The 14,079-nt window shown below is 40.5% G+C and overlaps 1 protein-coding gene across 20 annotated transcripts in view, besides 1 other annotated feature; it reads right to left on the minus strand.

Annotated features, from left to right (window-relative positions):
* Nucleotides 1,230-1,964: an enhancer, noted in NCBI's record as "H3K4me1 hESC enhancer chr13:37414257-37414991 (GRCh37/hg19 assembly coordinates)". NCBI's record gives its function as "activates a minimal SCP1, AML or CMV promoter by ChIP-STARR-seq in naive and primed H9 embryonic stem cells {active_cell/tissue: H9 hESC(naive and primed)}" and the evidence as "EXISTENCE:reporter gene assay evidence [ECO:0000049][PMID:30033119]".
* The window catches only part of SMAD9 (SMAD family member 9), a 76,024-nt gene continuing 67,885 nt past the window's right edge, over nt 5,941-14,079 (minus strand). For 12 of the 20 annotated variants that reach the window (XM_047430366.1, XM_047430365.1, NM_005905.6 and 9 more), the window contains one exon: nt 5,941-9,929. In XM_047430366.1, the coding sequence (XP_047286322.1) occupies nt 9,786-9,929 (144 nt within the window). In that variant the 3' untranslated portion in view covers nt 5,941-9,785. Of the gene's footprint in view, nt 13,628-14,079 lie in introns of all 20 variants that reach the window. The other 8 variants (XM_006719827.4, XM_005266404.4, XM_005266403.4 and 5 more) reach the window with 1 other exon arrangement.

Here is a 14,079-nt window from a genome sequence, read left to right on the forward strand (position 1 = left end):
TGGTAGCACTGAGTGGTTGTGACAATCACAGAAACCACATGGCCCACAAAGCCAAAAATATTTACTATCTGGGCCTTTAGAGATTCTGCTGGCCCCTTCTCCAGAGCCTCTGTCCATAGTCATCTCTTTTTTTTTTTTTTTTTTTTTTGAGACAGAGTTTTGCTCTTGTCGCCCAGGCTGGAGTACAATGGTGCGATCTTGGCTCACTGCAAACTCTGCCTCTTGGATTCAAGAAATTCTCCTACCTCAGCCTCCTGAGTAGCTAGGATTAGAGGCATGTGCCACCACACCTGGCTAATTTTTTTTTTTTTTTTTTTTTTTTGTATTTTTAAGAGACTGGGTTTCACCATGTTGGCCAGACTGGTCTCAAACTCCTGACCTCAGGTGATCCACCTGCCTTGGCCTCCCAAAGTGCTAGGATTACAGGCATGAGCCACTGCACCTGACCCACAGACATCTCTTCATTCAGTAGTCTAGCATGGGGGCTTGCTCCCAAGAGTACTGTTCCAGGAAGACATGCCCCATTGTGCAAGTACTCATTCAAACCTCTGCTCGCATAATGCTTGCTAACATGCCTTTGGCCAAATTAGGTCACATAGCTAACCCAAAGTCATGTGGGTGGCCATCAACACTGGGATGTGTGTGGCTCGTTGGAGGTCACTGAAGTGAAACCTACCGTAGTTACACAGTAAGTCAGTCAAATTCTTGGTTTATTGGACAGCTGACAGCTGTTAAGAAGGACCCTATGTTAAAGGAAATGGATACAATCTAATAACATTAACAATAGATAATGGTTTTTAACCATTAACTTCCATTGATAATGGTTCTGATTAGAGCGCAAGATAACTAGTGAAACGAGAATTCCCTTATCCCCCTTGCGGGGCATGCGACATGGGTATGGCTCACTCTTTTGGTTTCCCTGTTGCTCAAACCCCTAGGAGGAGCATGCAGACGGGCAGGTGCAGAGGCCGTGGGGAGCGCTTCTGGGCTCTGACCTCACGGCAGCGTCTAGGGATGGCTGTCTGTGACTCCCGAATCCCTAGTGGGCGTCTCTTACAGTGTGCTCTTTCAGCTTTGCCGTCTGCAGAAGGATTATGTTAATCAGCTCGATAGACCCTCTGCCTTATTGCAAGGGCAGTGGCCAGTTTAACAGCTTTCTGTATCCCAAGTTCTTGCCCAGTGTACAAGAAGAATCGGATGACACGTGGGCTTGAAGGATGAGTGCAAGGTTTTATTGAGTGGTGGAGGCTCTCAGCGAGATGGATGCGGAACCGGAAGTGGGGGATGGAGTGGGAACGTGATCTTCCCCTGGAGTCCTGCTGTTCTCGGTAGACGGACGCCTCCTTCCTTCTCTGCCATGCCGCCCTGCCACTCCCGCTCTTTGTCACTCTCTGCCACTCTCTTTCTCTGCTCCTCTCAATGTCCAGCCACTTGTGTCTGTGCCTGCTAAGGTCTCAGGTTTCTAGGGCCATGGGATGGGGGCATGGCAGGCCATAGTGGTCTTGGGAAGTGCAACATTTGGGTGCGAAAACAGGAATCCCTGTTCTCACTTAGGTCTGTGGGCACAGGCCCGAGCGTGGAGCCCTCGCCTGGGGACCCCACCCTTCTCTACCCAGCACTTCCCTGCCTCCCTCTAGTATCAGTAGTAGAGTCTTGTGATAGGCTGGATAATGCCCCCACAAGATATCCATGTACTAATTCCAGGACTTGTTGATGTTGTCTTATGTGGCAAAAGGAACTTTGCAGAGGTGCTTAAGTTGAGGATTCTGAGATGGAGAGATCAACCTGAATTATCTGGATGGGCTCTAAATGTAATCACACGTGTCCTTATAAGAGGAACCCTTGCTTACAGAAGAACAAGAGATGTGATGATGGAAGCAACAGGTTAGAGAGATTCAAGAAAAGCATAGCCAGCCAAGGGAATGCAGGCAGCCTCCAGAAGCTAAAAAAAAAAAAAAAAAAAAAAAAAGAAAAGAAAAAAGAAAAGCAAGAGAACGATTCCCCCTAGAGCTTCCTGAAAGAACTAGCCATGCCACCACATTGTCGTTATCCCAGTGAGACAGATTTCAAACTTGTGGCCTCAAGAACTGTAAGGGTAAGAACTGTAAAATAAATTTATGCTGTTCTAAGCCACAAAATTTGTGGCACTTTTTTACAGCAGCAACAGGAAATTAATAAAAGTCTTCCAGTGGTAGGGGGTGAATCTCATTACGTTTCTAAGGCAAGCATTGCTTAGTATCTTGCTTATTTAAAAGATAAATTTAGCTAGTATACACAATAGTGGCCAATTAGATTGTATGCTATAATACTTGTAAGAAAAATGATTGCATACTCTTTGTTTTCTTGTTTGAGACAGAGCCTCACTCTGTTGCCCAGGCTAGAGTGCAGTGGCACAATCTTGGCTCACTGCAACCTCCACCTCCCGGTTTCAAGCTCTTCTCGTGCCTCAGTCTCCCAAGTAGCTGGGACTACAGGCACACACCACCACACCCAGCTAACTTTTGTATTTTTAGTAGAGACAGGGTTTTGCCATTTTGGCCAGACTAGTCTCGAACTCCCGACCTCAGGTGATCCACCCGCCTCAGCCTCGCAAAGTGCTGGGATTACAGGCATGAGCCACCACACCCAGCCAATTGCATACTCTGAATCAAAAAACCATTTCCCTCAAGTTAGAATATGCAATATTTATTGTACATTGAGTGCCCTCTGGTGCTTACCCAAAGCTTTCTAAACCTCAACCAAACTCGTAGAGATAAAGCTTATAAGCAGTGGGACAATTTGGAGCCTTAAACTCCCAAATTCTCAGATGTCTTCCAACATGATTTTCCAAAGCAATCTGTAGCATGTCTGGAGCAAGGATGGGGGGATCATGATTCAGGGGGCCCCAAGGAGGGTCTATCATAGACTGTTGCTTTTTAAAGTAACTAGTAGCAATGCTTTAAATTGTCATTGTAGATTTAAGAACCTGTAGTTCAAATGTCTCAGTTTAGTATGCAAAACCCTTTACCTCCAAGCTCCTGCCTATTTCTGCCTCTCTCCTTTATGTCAAGCCATCATGATTTATATGGTATAATGCCAATGGATCATTGTTTCACAAAAGTTCTTTCCATTCCTTTTAGTTCTTTTCCACTCCTTCAGCAAGTTGAAGAGCCCTCTCTTGTCCTTCAGCACTGAGCTTTGTATTTCCTTTTTATGCCAAACCAGGAGAAACAAATAGGAACTCTGCCAACTTTTGTTTGCAAACCCCTTTCACGGTAATCTATAATCTCACAAACTCCCTTAGAAAAAAATCAATTTAACATTTTTTCATGGTGTATGAAAGAAATGATTTTGTTTAAAATATTTTATTGCATATCAACATGTTTCAAACATTGTACTATAATCATTTCAGTATACCCTTCAGTATTTATTAAGACAAATTTCACTTTCCACATTCATTTAGTGATGGGCTATATTTAATTTGTTTTAAAATAATTGGGTCAAGAAAAGCAAGTGTGTTAACAAATGAATTGTAAAATGGTATTGTATTTAGCTTGAAGACCGAATGTATAAGAAAGTATATGCTGTTATGGCATCAAAAAAGACAAAACACTTTTACAGCATGATGTTCAGAATATTTGAAATTATGCTTAAATATCAATGGATTATTTTGATGATTTTTATTTATTTTTAATTTTTTATTTTTTTGAGACAGAGTCTCGCTCTGTCGCCCAGGCTGGAGTGCAATGGCACGGTCTCGGCTCACCACAACCTCCGCCTCCTGGGTTCAAACGATTCTCCTGCCTCAGCCTCCTGAGTAGCTGGGATTACAGGCACCTTCCACTACGCCCAGCTAATTTTTGTATTTTTAGTAGAGACGGGGTTTCACCATGTTGGCCAGGCTGGTCTCGAACTCCTGACCTCAGGTGATCCACCCGCCTCAGCCTCCCAAAGTGCTGGGATTACAGGCGTGAGCCACCACCGCTCCTGGCCTGTTTTGATAATTTTTCCTTCCTAAATGATGAGACTAGAGAGAAGTTAGCCTGCCACTTGCAAGCGTTCTCTTCAAAGAACACGTTGCAGGTGTGAATTCTCTTTGGCTTAAAAACCAAACTGAATATAATTTTCCTTATATTTACTCCATTTAACATTGGCATTTAGATTAAGAGTCATTCTGAGGCCTTGCCTAACATTTTTATTAGATGTATGCAAATAATGGAACCATCAGTGATCATGCGGAGGTAAACTTTCAGAATTAGTGTCTGTTAACTTGGTGTTATAACATCAAAATTCTTTATGCTTCTCATACTCAAATTCACATTGTGAAAATAAATACTTAGAATAAAAGCAATTTTAACTGTTTAATTGCTAAAACTACTTTTCCTTGCTACTGCTATGCAGCTGGATAACTATTTCCAAAATAAATCACAAGCACGCTTTTCTGATCCCTATCTGCTGTGCATGGTTACGTGATATGCAGTTGGAGGCCTGCAATGCTTTTTTTTTTTTTTTTTTTTTTTTGAGACGGAGTCTCGCTCTGTCGCCCAGGCCGGACTGCGGACTGGCAATGCTTTTTATTTTGAAAGGAGAAGCTAAATACTTTCGGATATTTTTAAAGAAAGAGCTAAAAATAACTACCATTTCTGCCTTTACAATGTGATCCCCAAAAGCCTTTCTAAACAAACAGTAGCTGGAAAATGCTGAAAATGAATAAATGGAATCCCTGTCCTTAAAGACATCCCAGCCTGGCAGAAAGATGGATAAGTAAACAACAGTGGGGTGCAGGAACTGATACTGACCATTGATGGGCACAAAGTATTATGGGAACACAGACAGCAGGCACTAACCTGCTTTAGGAATGCCTGGGATGATTTACTAAGAGAACTGCCGTGAAGGATGGCAACTTGGATCGGCCCAGAAGCCTTCCCTGGTACTCACCCAGGGCCTGATGTAGATGTCACTCGGTGGTCCCAGCAGCTTGTCACAGCTGACAGCACACTGCTTATTATTGGTTTACTTGTTCACCTTTCTCCACAAAATGGTAAGCTCCTTAAAAGTAGAAACTTTGTCATTGTATCTACAGTGCCTGCTGATGCATAAGAACTATCTGACAAGTAAATATAAGGAGTCTAGGATGATGAAAATACTTCTTCTCTAAGACGGGCTGATGTTTAAAGACAGTATTTTATGTCTGTACCATGATATGTTTAAAGAATGTGTATTCGTGTTTGAAATGCCAATACCAAATATTAGATGCAAGCACAGGGTCGGGAACCATGGGAGACAAACAAGACACAATCACTGCTCTCCAGAAACTTACAGTGTAAACTGGAGGCTTCACGGTCCCCACCAGGATCTAAACAGGCATATCTTTCATGTGTTTTTATTTTGGAGTTCCACAAAACACTTTTTTTGAATACAGAGCTCCATTTCGTTAAAAAAATTGACAACTCTGATCAAGTAAATAAGAAAGCTGCTTATAGGTAATAGAGTTTCCCCTTCCTTTTTAAGATTAGAAGGAAATTTAGATGAAAGGAATTGAGAATTTACATTTTTAGATGATGTGTTCATATTTCTTTGGATTTCATCTTAGTTTTCCCTCACCAGTTGCCTTTTAGCACCTTTCTAATAGGCAATCTGTAGCAATGTACAGATGTTTACAATAATGAAAGTGCTCATTCTTTCCTATATACTGCAATATCACGTATTTGCTACTATCCAGAAAAAGGTTCTACATATATCCTTTCTAAAGTTACTGTGAAGTATCTTCAAGAACTATACTTCATGACGGTTATTCTAAGGTGTTTAATTCAAAACCACTACCTAATTTCTCTATAGCATGTGGAATTTAACATCCCATTTTCAAAATAGAATGGTTTAAAATTAATTGACTTAAGGAGCTGCAGACCCACATACAGTGAATCTTCTATGAGGTTTACAGGAAAAATGAGCCAAAAGACATATAAGTACAGTATTCTTTATTATAAACAATCAGATAACAGTATAAGTGTGCATTTGATGGATAACCGAAGCCAAGTTATTATAATAGAAAGCATGACTTCACTCAAATAGACAGTTTCTTTGTTGTTGTTAATCTGTTTTACATTAATTTGAATTTAACATATGCTAGGATCACCTAAACTTGTCATACAGTTCTGCTATTAAAATCGTAACAGGGAAAGACAAAATGTGAAATGCATGTTATATTTTGCTTTATTTGTTGAATATATATGTGTGTGTGTGTGTATATATATATATATATATACACACTAAATATTTGGGACACAAAGTTAAGCAGGTGCTTACAGTCTATCAAGTGATATTTATGAAATGTTTTTGTTGCTGTTTTGTTGCTGTTATGGGAACATCCATATCCTTAGAAGACAATAAAAAAGAGGATTCTAAATGCTAGATGGTTGGCTAACTTCTCCTGATTTATACTGAGTGTAAAACAAAACAAAACAAAACATAAGGTATATGTGTTAAGTAGTGACATCTTTATAGTTCCAAAGCACTCGCAGCTATTAAAATATCATCTAGCTAAAACAAACTTTTCACAATTTTTTAACAGAAAAATAATAAACCAACAACAAAAACTGATCAATGTTCTGGGTCTTGTGAGCAGACCGAAATGTTACTACAGTGTTCTCTATTGTGTGATCCTTGTCCGTGGCAACCTTAAACGTGTGCTGCAGTGCTGATGTATTTATAGGCTTAGCATGTCTGCTTTATTAGTTATCCTGGAAAGAATGCTATTCAGTTTTTTTTTTAATGTCTACATCAAGGAATGAATGCTAAATGAGCCCATTTAGCAGCCTGAAATCAAATACTGCATTTATTTTTTGAAACTCTTGGTAGCAAAAGAAAAAGCTGATTAAAATATGATTGTGTTACAATGACTAAAGGGTTAACTTCTCATTAATTCTAAATTCTTCAAAATGTACAAGCATCATAATAAAGGCTTTTGATGAGACATGACTGGTGATGATCATATGTGCCAATTTAATAATTTATTTGTCACAGAAAATTCAGATTCACTGCAATATTGTGTTCTGGCTTCCCAAAGCTGCAGGGAAATACAAGTTTTTTGTTTCTTGATTTTTGTTTAGAGACAGGGTGTCACTTTGTCACCCAGGCTAGAATGAAGTTGTATGATCATAGTTCACTACAGCCCCAAACTCCTGGGCTCAGATGATCCTCCCGCCTTGGCCTCCCAAAGTGCTGGGACTATAGGAATGAGCCACTGCATCCAGATTTTTTTTTTGTTTTTAATGTCATTTATGAGCCACCAGTTTAGATTAATTCTGTAAAGGTGTAAGATTACCAGAGGAAGCCGGGCGCAGTGGCTCACGCCTGTAATCCCAGCACTTTGGGAGGCTGAGGCGGGCGGATCACAAGGTCAAGAGATAGAGACCATTCTGGCTACCATGGTGAAACCCCGTCTCTACTAAAAATATAAAAATTAGCTGGGCGTGGTAGCCTGTAGTCCCAACTACTTGGGAGGCTGAGGCAGGAGAATCACTCGAACCCGGGAGGCAGAGGTTGCAGTGAGCCAAGATCACGCCACTGCACTCTGGCCTGGTGACACAGCGAGACTCCATCTCAAAAAAAAAAAAAAAAAAAAAAAGATTACCAGAGGATAAGTTAGATAGCTGGTAGAGAGATCACGAAAGCTATGTTTGATCTCTGGAGCAAAAACTGTGTTGAAGTTCTCCCATGGAATGGTTCCCATACAAGATTCACCATATTAATGCCTTTTCTAAGAAAAGGGGACATGGAGAATTATTGGAAAACAGGGAAGAAAGGGGAGGAAAAAAAACAACTTTGAGACATGGAAGAAAAGTAGCATTTATACAAGGAATCCATTACCTGACTTTGCAGAAGAGTAAGGAAATAATTTCAAAACAGAGATAAGAAATCAATCACATTCTTTCAAGCAAAAGATGATAGATTACATTATTTTGTTTTGTTTTAAAAGTTCTGAAACATGAAGATGTCTGTACAAACAGATTCACTATTAGGTTCTCGGCTCCCTGAGGGCTGGGACTGTCTCTTATTTACATTTGATTCTACAGTACCTAACATTGTACCTGACACCCATAGGTAGGTGCACAATACATAGTTGATGAACCAATAAACTACAGATTTTTCTATACACTACATGGGCCATATATTACATTTTTCAATGTAAAATGTAATAATTCTTTTCTATGTGTATATATGAAAGTTTCTATTAGCTAACACTAGTAACTGTAAGAGGTGACAGTAGTAGCTCAATCATATATCTTTCTCACATGATCATTTCTACCTTGAATACAATTTAATTAGAAAAACTACCATGTGCACTAATGCTAGAAAGAGTTGAGATAAAATGTATAAATGAAGAAACTTCTTGGATTACTGAAGTGCTGTCTGTTACAAGCATAACTGCCATCTTAAATTGTACATTTTTAAAGAGGGTGTGAAATATTTTTCCAAGCAATGCAGTGTTTAGTGCATGGCAAGTATATATATGAAAGTACCTAGAAATTTGGGGGATTTTCCTCCCTCATCTAAAGTAAAATAAGAACAGGTTTTTAATATTGTGTATATTTTTAAAAGATGTCTTATTATTCAGTACCACTGTTCCCCAGAAATTGCAGATGATTATGAAATTATTATCACTTTCCTTGGGAATTTATTTCCAGGTTAGATAATCACTAGACACTAGGTTAAATAACTCATTGATCCAATAATGTGTCTAGATTTTCTCAAAGTCTTTACTGTTGCTTTAGTGATCTGCAAAGAGTTAATATTTGCCAAGAGGCAGGAAAACGTGGCGAAAGAGTGCCCTTCCCAGGAGACTGGAACGTGGGAAATGAGAAAGTGTAAGTCGACGTGTGATGCTTTTCTCCAACCTTTGGTTTCACCTGCTTCTTGACACAGGACTGAAACACAAGCTATTCTGGCACGCTGCGCAGACTCAAAGTTTGCAGGACTGCCTGACACGAACAACCAGCACGACAGGAACCTGGTCTCCTCTGTGGAAAGCAGGAGTCTCCCTGGGTGGCTGGCTCTTGGACCAAGTTCTGGTCTTATCTTGCAATCTGGGAAACAGCATTTCATGCTATTTTCATATTTATTTTCCCATATTAGACTCTGTTTTTACAGTGGTAGACTGAGGGAACATGACTTTTGGCTTCACAGTTTTTTTTCTTTTCCGATCACAGTTTGTTTAAAATGTACCACTGAATATGAGCACAGGAGCCCAGCTATAGGTATGTCAACCTTAGAAATAAAGTTTCTATGGCCTATCTCATTAATTCATTGTACAAGTTTGTTGTTTTTTTTTTCTTGCCAACAGCACTAAAAGTGACATCATTTAAACTGTAGGGGTTTCACTGCTTTGTTTCATCTGAGTGATATTTGCTTTAGTGCTGCTAATACCTGACTTTTGCTGTATAAACAGTTTCAATGTTTCTGTGAGGCCACACAACATGCTTTATAATGACACGGCTGACTAAAGCTGTCTTTTATTCTGCTAACACCCTTCAAATACTGTTGACAATATCGCCTCTCAAGTGTTTCCTCCCACAAAATCTGCTGCTTATAGCACAGGCACCAAAGTCCTGCTTTTCCAATTGCACTGTACTGGCATCAGGTTAACTAGAAAGCACAAAACAAACGGTGATTAAAAAAAATAAGAACAGTATACATTCTATGTATTTACACATGTTTTTAGAAACTTCAGTTGCAAATCTGAAATGATACAAGCCACTCCCTGCAATAGCCTCTATCCTATGGAAATGCAGCTTAAGACATGACTGTTAAGACACTGAAGAAATGGGGTTATGTGGAGAGCCCATCTGAGTCAGAACTTTGTCCAGCCACTGCAGTGGCCCATGAAGATGAATCTCAATCCAGCAGGGGGTGCTGGTGACATCCTGGCGATGATACTCAGCACCCCAACCCTGAAAAACAAGAAAGGAGCTGAGTGATGGTGCCACACTTACACTCAGCCTCCAGAGCCCCAGGCAGAGCTCAGCGGGGCACAGAGCCCACACCCCAGCGTAGCTCCTGAGACCTGAGAGGGAGAGAACATGGCCTCTACCTTCCTGTAAACACAGGTCAACTCTCACACCAACCAGATGCCTTCAGATGAATCCAAATCAGTGCATTCCCTCAGGGTTCACAACTGAATACTCGGATCTAGAGAGGTTCTGGCACTCCAGTCACACGGGAAGCACTGAAAAATCATTTTCCCTTCCACAAAGGAAGAAACTTGACCTTTTGTTCACCCCTTCATGCCCAGGACAGTGTCTTGCACAAAATGGTTACTGCAGACCAGTGACTGGACCTGAAAGTGGTAAAGACAGAACTGGAAGGCGCTCTTGGTTTTTCAGGGCTCATTATCAAAGCTTGCTTATTCTCTCTCTCTCTCTCTCTCTAGTTCAACTGGCAATTTCCCTTTTATCACCATTCAAAGGAGAGACAGTTAAAATTTTTTTTTTTAATTTGCATATTTTTCTCTATATGTTATATATCAATGAAAGGATATTTAAAAATGAAGGGAGATCACAGCCAAGTAAATCAGTTCTGTGACTGGGAGCAGTGATTCTCTGTAGAGTTTTTTAAAACTTGGATTTCAACACAACCATGCTGCCTGATCACATTTTACTTTCATGACTGAGAACCTCAAGTGGACCTGTGATGTCCCCGGCAGTCACAACCCACCCCCCAGTCCCTTCTCTCATGTCCCCCTCCTAGGTGATCGCTCCTCCCCACTAAAACCTGCAACCCCTTTTTCCCTGTCCATACCTGCAACTGATATTTATTTTGTATTTTAATGAGAAAAATGAATACATCAGAAATAAGTTTCCACAGGACCTGCATCCACATACTTGGCCTTTCTACCTCTTACCACAGATTAATTATTTGTGTTTCCAAATAAGCTGGTCCACCCATTAATGCACTCTCAGACCTGCCTTCCCAGAGACATCATTCCAGCAAATCTTCCCCTTCTCTCCTGCAATCTTTTGCGTCTACTATATCATTCCCGTCAACATATGAACACACTGAAATGTCTTCCACCTTCAAGATACTTCTCCACCCCCCACCAGCTACTGCCCTATGTTTTTATCCCATTTCTGGCAAAAACCCTCAGAAGAGTCATCCATACTAGCCATCTCAATTTGTCTCCTTCCATTCTCTCTTAAATCCATTCTGATCATCATCTCACCCCAGCCGCCAACAAAACTTTTCTTGTCAAGATCAAAAAAGGCCTTCATATTGTTAAAATGAATGATCAGCTCTCAGCCTTTGTGTTATGTGGGCAGCATTTGATTTAGTTCATCACATCCTCTCATCAATGCACTGTCTTTTCTCGGCTTCCAAAGCACCACACTTCTTGGTCTTATTACTACCTCACTGGTTGGTCTTTCTCAGTTTTCTTTGCTGATTCTGTCCCTTCTGTCCCATCTTTAAATGTTGAAGTGTCCCAGGGCTCAGTCCTAGAGCCCCCTTTCTTATTTATTTATTTTAATTTTTTTGAGATGGAGTCTGGCTCTGTCACCCAGGCTGGAGTGCAATGGTGCGATCTCAGCTCACTGCAACCTCTGCCTCCGAGGTTCAAGCGATTCTCCTGCCTAAGCCTCCCAAGTGCTGAGATTACAGGCACGCGCCACCACGCCTGGCTAATTTTTGTATTTTTAGTAGAGATGGGGTTTTGCCATGTTGGCCAGGCTAGTCTTGAACTCCTGACCTCAAGCAATCCACCCACCTTAGCCTCCCAAAGTGCTGGGATTACAGGCATGAGCCACCACGCCCGGCTCTTCTCAGTTTAAACTCAAACCTTTGGTGTTCTCATCCACACTTAGGGAGTTAAATACGGTCCCTTTGCAGACAATTCCCAAATTTGTATTTCAAGCCCAAACCTCTCTCCCCGAATCCAGACTCTTATATCGAACTGGCTACTCAGCAACTCCACTTGAATGCAACGGACATCTCAATTACACCTGCGTCTTCTCCATCTTGATTGAAGGCAACTAACTTCATCTTCCTCTTTTTCTCCCACGCCTGATCCGCCTTCACAATTCAGAATCCTTCCACTTCTCACAGCTGTACTGGATCCCTCCAGGTGGGGGCGACTCTCACCTGACTATTACTATAGCCTCCTAAGTGGTTTCCCTACTTGCAACCTTGCCTGTATAATATCTATCCTCCACACAGCAGGCAGGGCGATCCTTTAAGAATAGAAGTTAGATCATGAAAATGCTCTGCTCTGATCCCTGCAAAAGCTCGCCACCTCCTTACAGTCACCGCTGAACTCGTAGCAGAGGTTCAGGAGGCCTTGCTATGGTTCCCTGCGGCTGCTCTCATCTCACTTCCCCTGCTCATTAGGCCCCAGCCACACTGGCCTGCCTGCTCTTCAGAGTTTCCAGGTGTATGCTGTTGCCTTGCTCTTCCCTCTTCTTCTGCTCTTCCTCCAGGGGTCCCTGGGCCTAGCTCCATGTCTCCTTCCAGTCTCTGCTGACCTGTCACCTTTTCAATGAGGCCCACCCTCATGTGCAGATGACTCCACTGCCCCCGTGCTCCAATTCCCTTCACCCTGCCCCCAGACTTTCTCTTTCCATCCTTCTTCTGTGTTTTGGCTGTTGTTTATTATCCATCTCTCCTTCCTAGAATATTGGTTCCCTGAGGTCAGAGATCTGTGAGTAAACATTGGCATGTCCCACGTGCCTGGCCTGCACATGGCAGGTGCTCAATAAACATTTGTTGACTGACTAAGTCCTAGAATCAGTAAAAATCAGAGCTGAAAGAAACCTTAAAGAGATCTGATCCATCAGCCCAGTGGTAGCTACAGCTGCTCATCTCAAATGTTAAAAAAAAATGATCTATAGTTATATTTACTATGTATTTATTTTAAAAGTTCCTGCAGTATTAGGAACAGTTTGTCTTCTGTGTCAATTGTGTAGCTTTATGAATGTAAATGCTGCCTATCTGAGAAATGTATCTAGTTATTAGGAAAATCAGATTTCTATATAAGCTTATATTTAATCAGAGTGAAATAATTACCTATGAGATATTGGCATTTCATCCTAATTTTAAAAACACAGACCCGGAAAAAAAAAAAACTGTATGATTCAAATGATGCCCTCTGCCGTTTCTAAAGCAACAGAACATTTGAAAAGATTTCGAAGTTATTTGTTAATATAACTTTATAATATATGCTTTCAAAACACTAAATTTGAATGAAACTGCTTTGTCACCATGAAAGAGAAATAATTTCAAGCAGCTGTTTTTTAAAATTGGAAACTATATTGTTCTTACTTTTTAAATAATTACTAAAGTGATAATAAAAACATAATTTGAGTATAGAAAAATTATTTGTCATGGTAATTTTAAAGTGCTAATAAAATTTACTTTGAAAAAAATGCCTGGAACAAGCCATGCTGATTCCCTGGATGGAATCATGGCAGTAAGAAAACTGTCACACATACCCCGATACTTTGATAAGCCCATATTTTGAAATACTAGACTCATTTGCGAGTACTTTGCAACAGACAAAATAGCAGGTGATGAAACTGAAGGCTTTCACTTCCATATACAAACCCAGTTGTCTTTCCTTCCCACTAAGAAACTTCCTTGGTTCTCCAGCCTTCATAGCAACCTTAATAAGATTCGATATGAGAAATTCAACAAATATTCATCAACAGAACATATACTGCTCTCTGAATTAATCACACCCGTTTCTATTCCAAATTGTTTATACCTTTATAACACTACTTAGTTTATTATCTTGTATTAGAACCAACCCTGCCTATTTTTGTAGCTTATTCATAAATATTATCTCCTCCATGTGCCTGTATGCTTTCTAAGAGTAAGGAGAGTATCTTACTGAATTCAGATAAATTCACCAACATTCACTGAGTGATAACAGTGCTTGGCAATTGGAAGGATGGAAAAAATCTCTGTTGCACTAGTCCTGTAAAATTACTGTTGTTACTTTATCATCTGCATTAAAAACAATCAAATAGCCACCTTGTTTTTCCTCAAAAGTAATGTGTAACAATTTTCATATAATTGCTAAACAAGACAGTTTATACTCAAAGAGGAACTCCT

Source organism: Homo sapiens, chromosome 13 (genome assembly GCF_000001405.40).
Source record: "Homo sapiens chromosome 13, GRCh38.p14 Primary Assembly".
Classification (NCBI taxonomy): domain Eukaryota; kingdom Metazoa; phylum Chordata; class Mammalia; order Primates; family Hominidae; genus Homo; species Homo sapiens.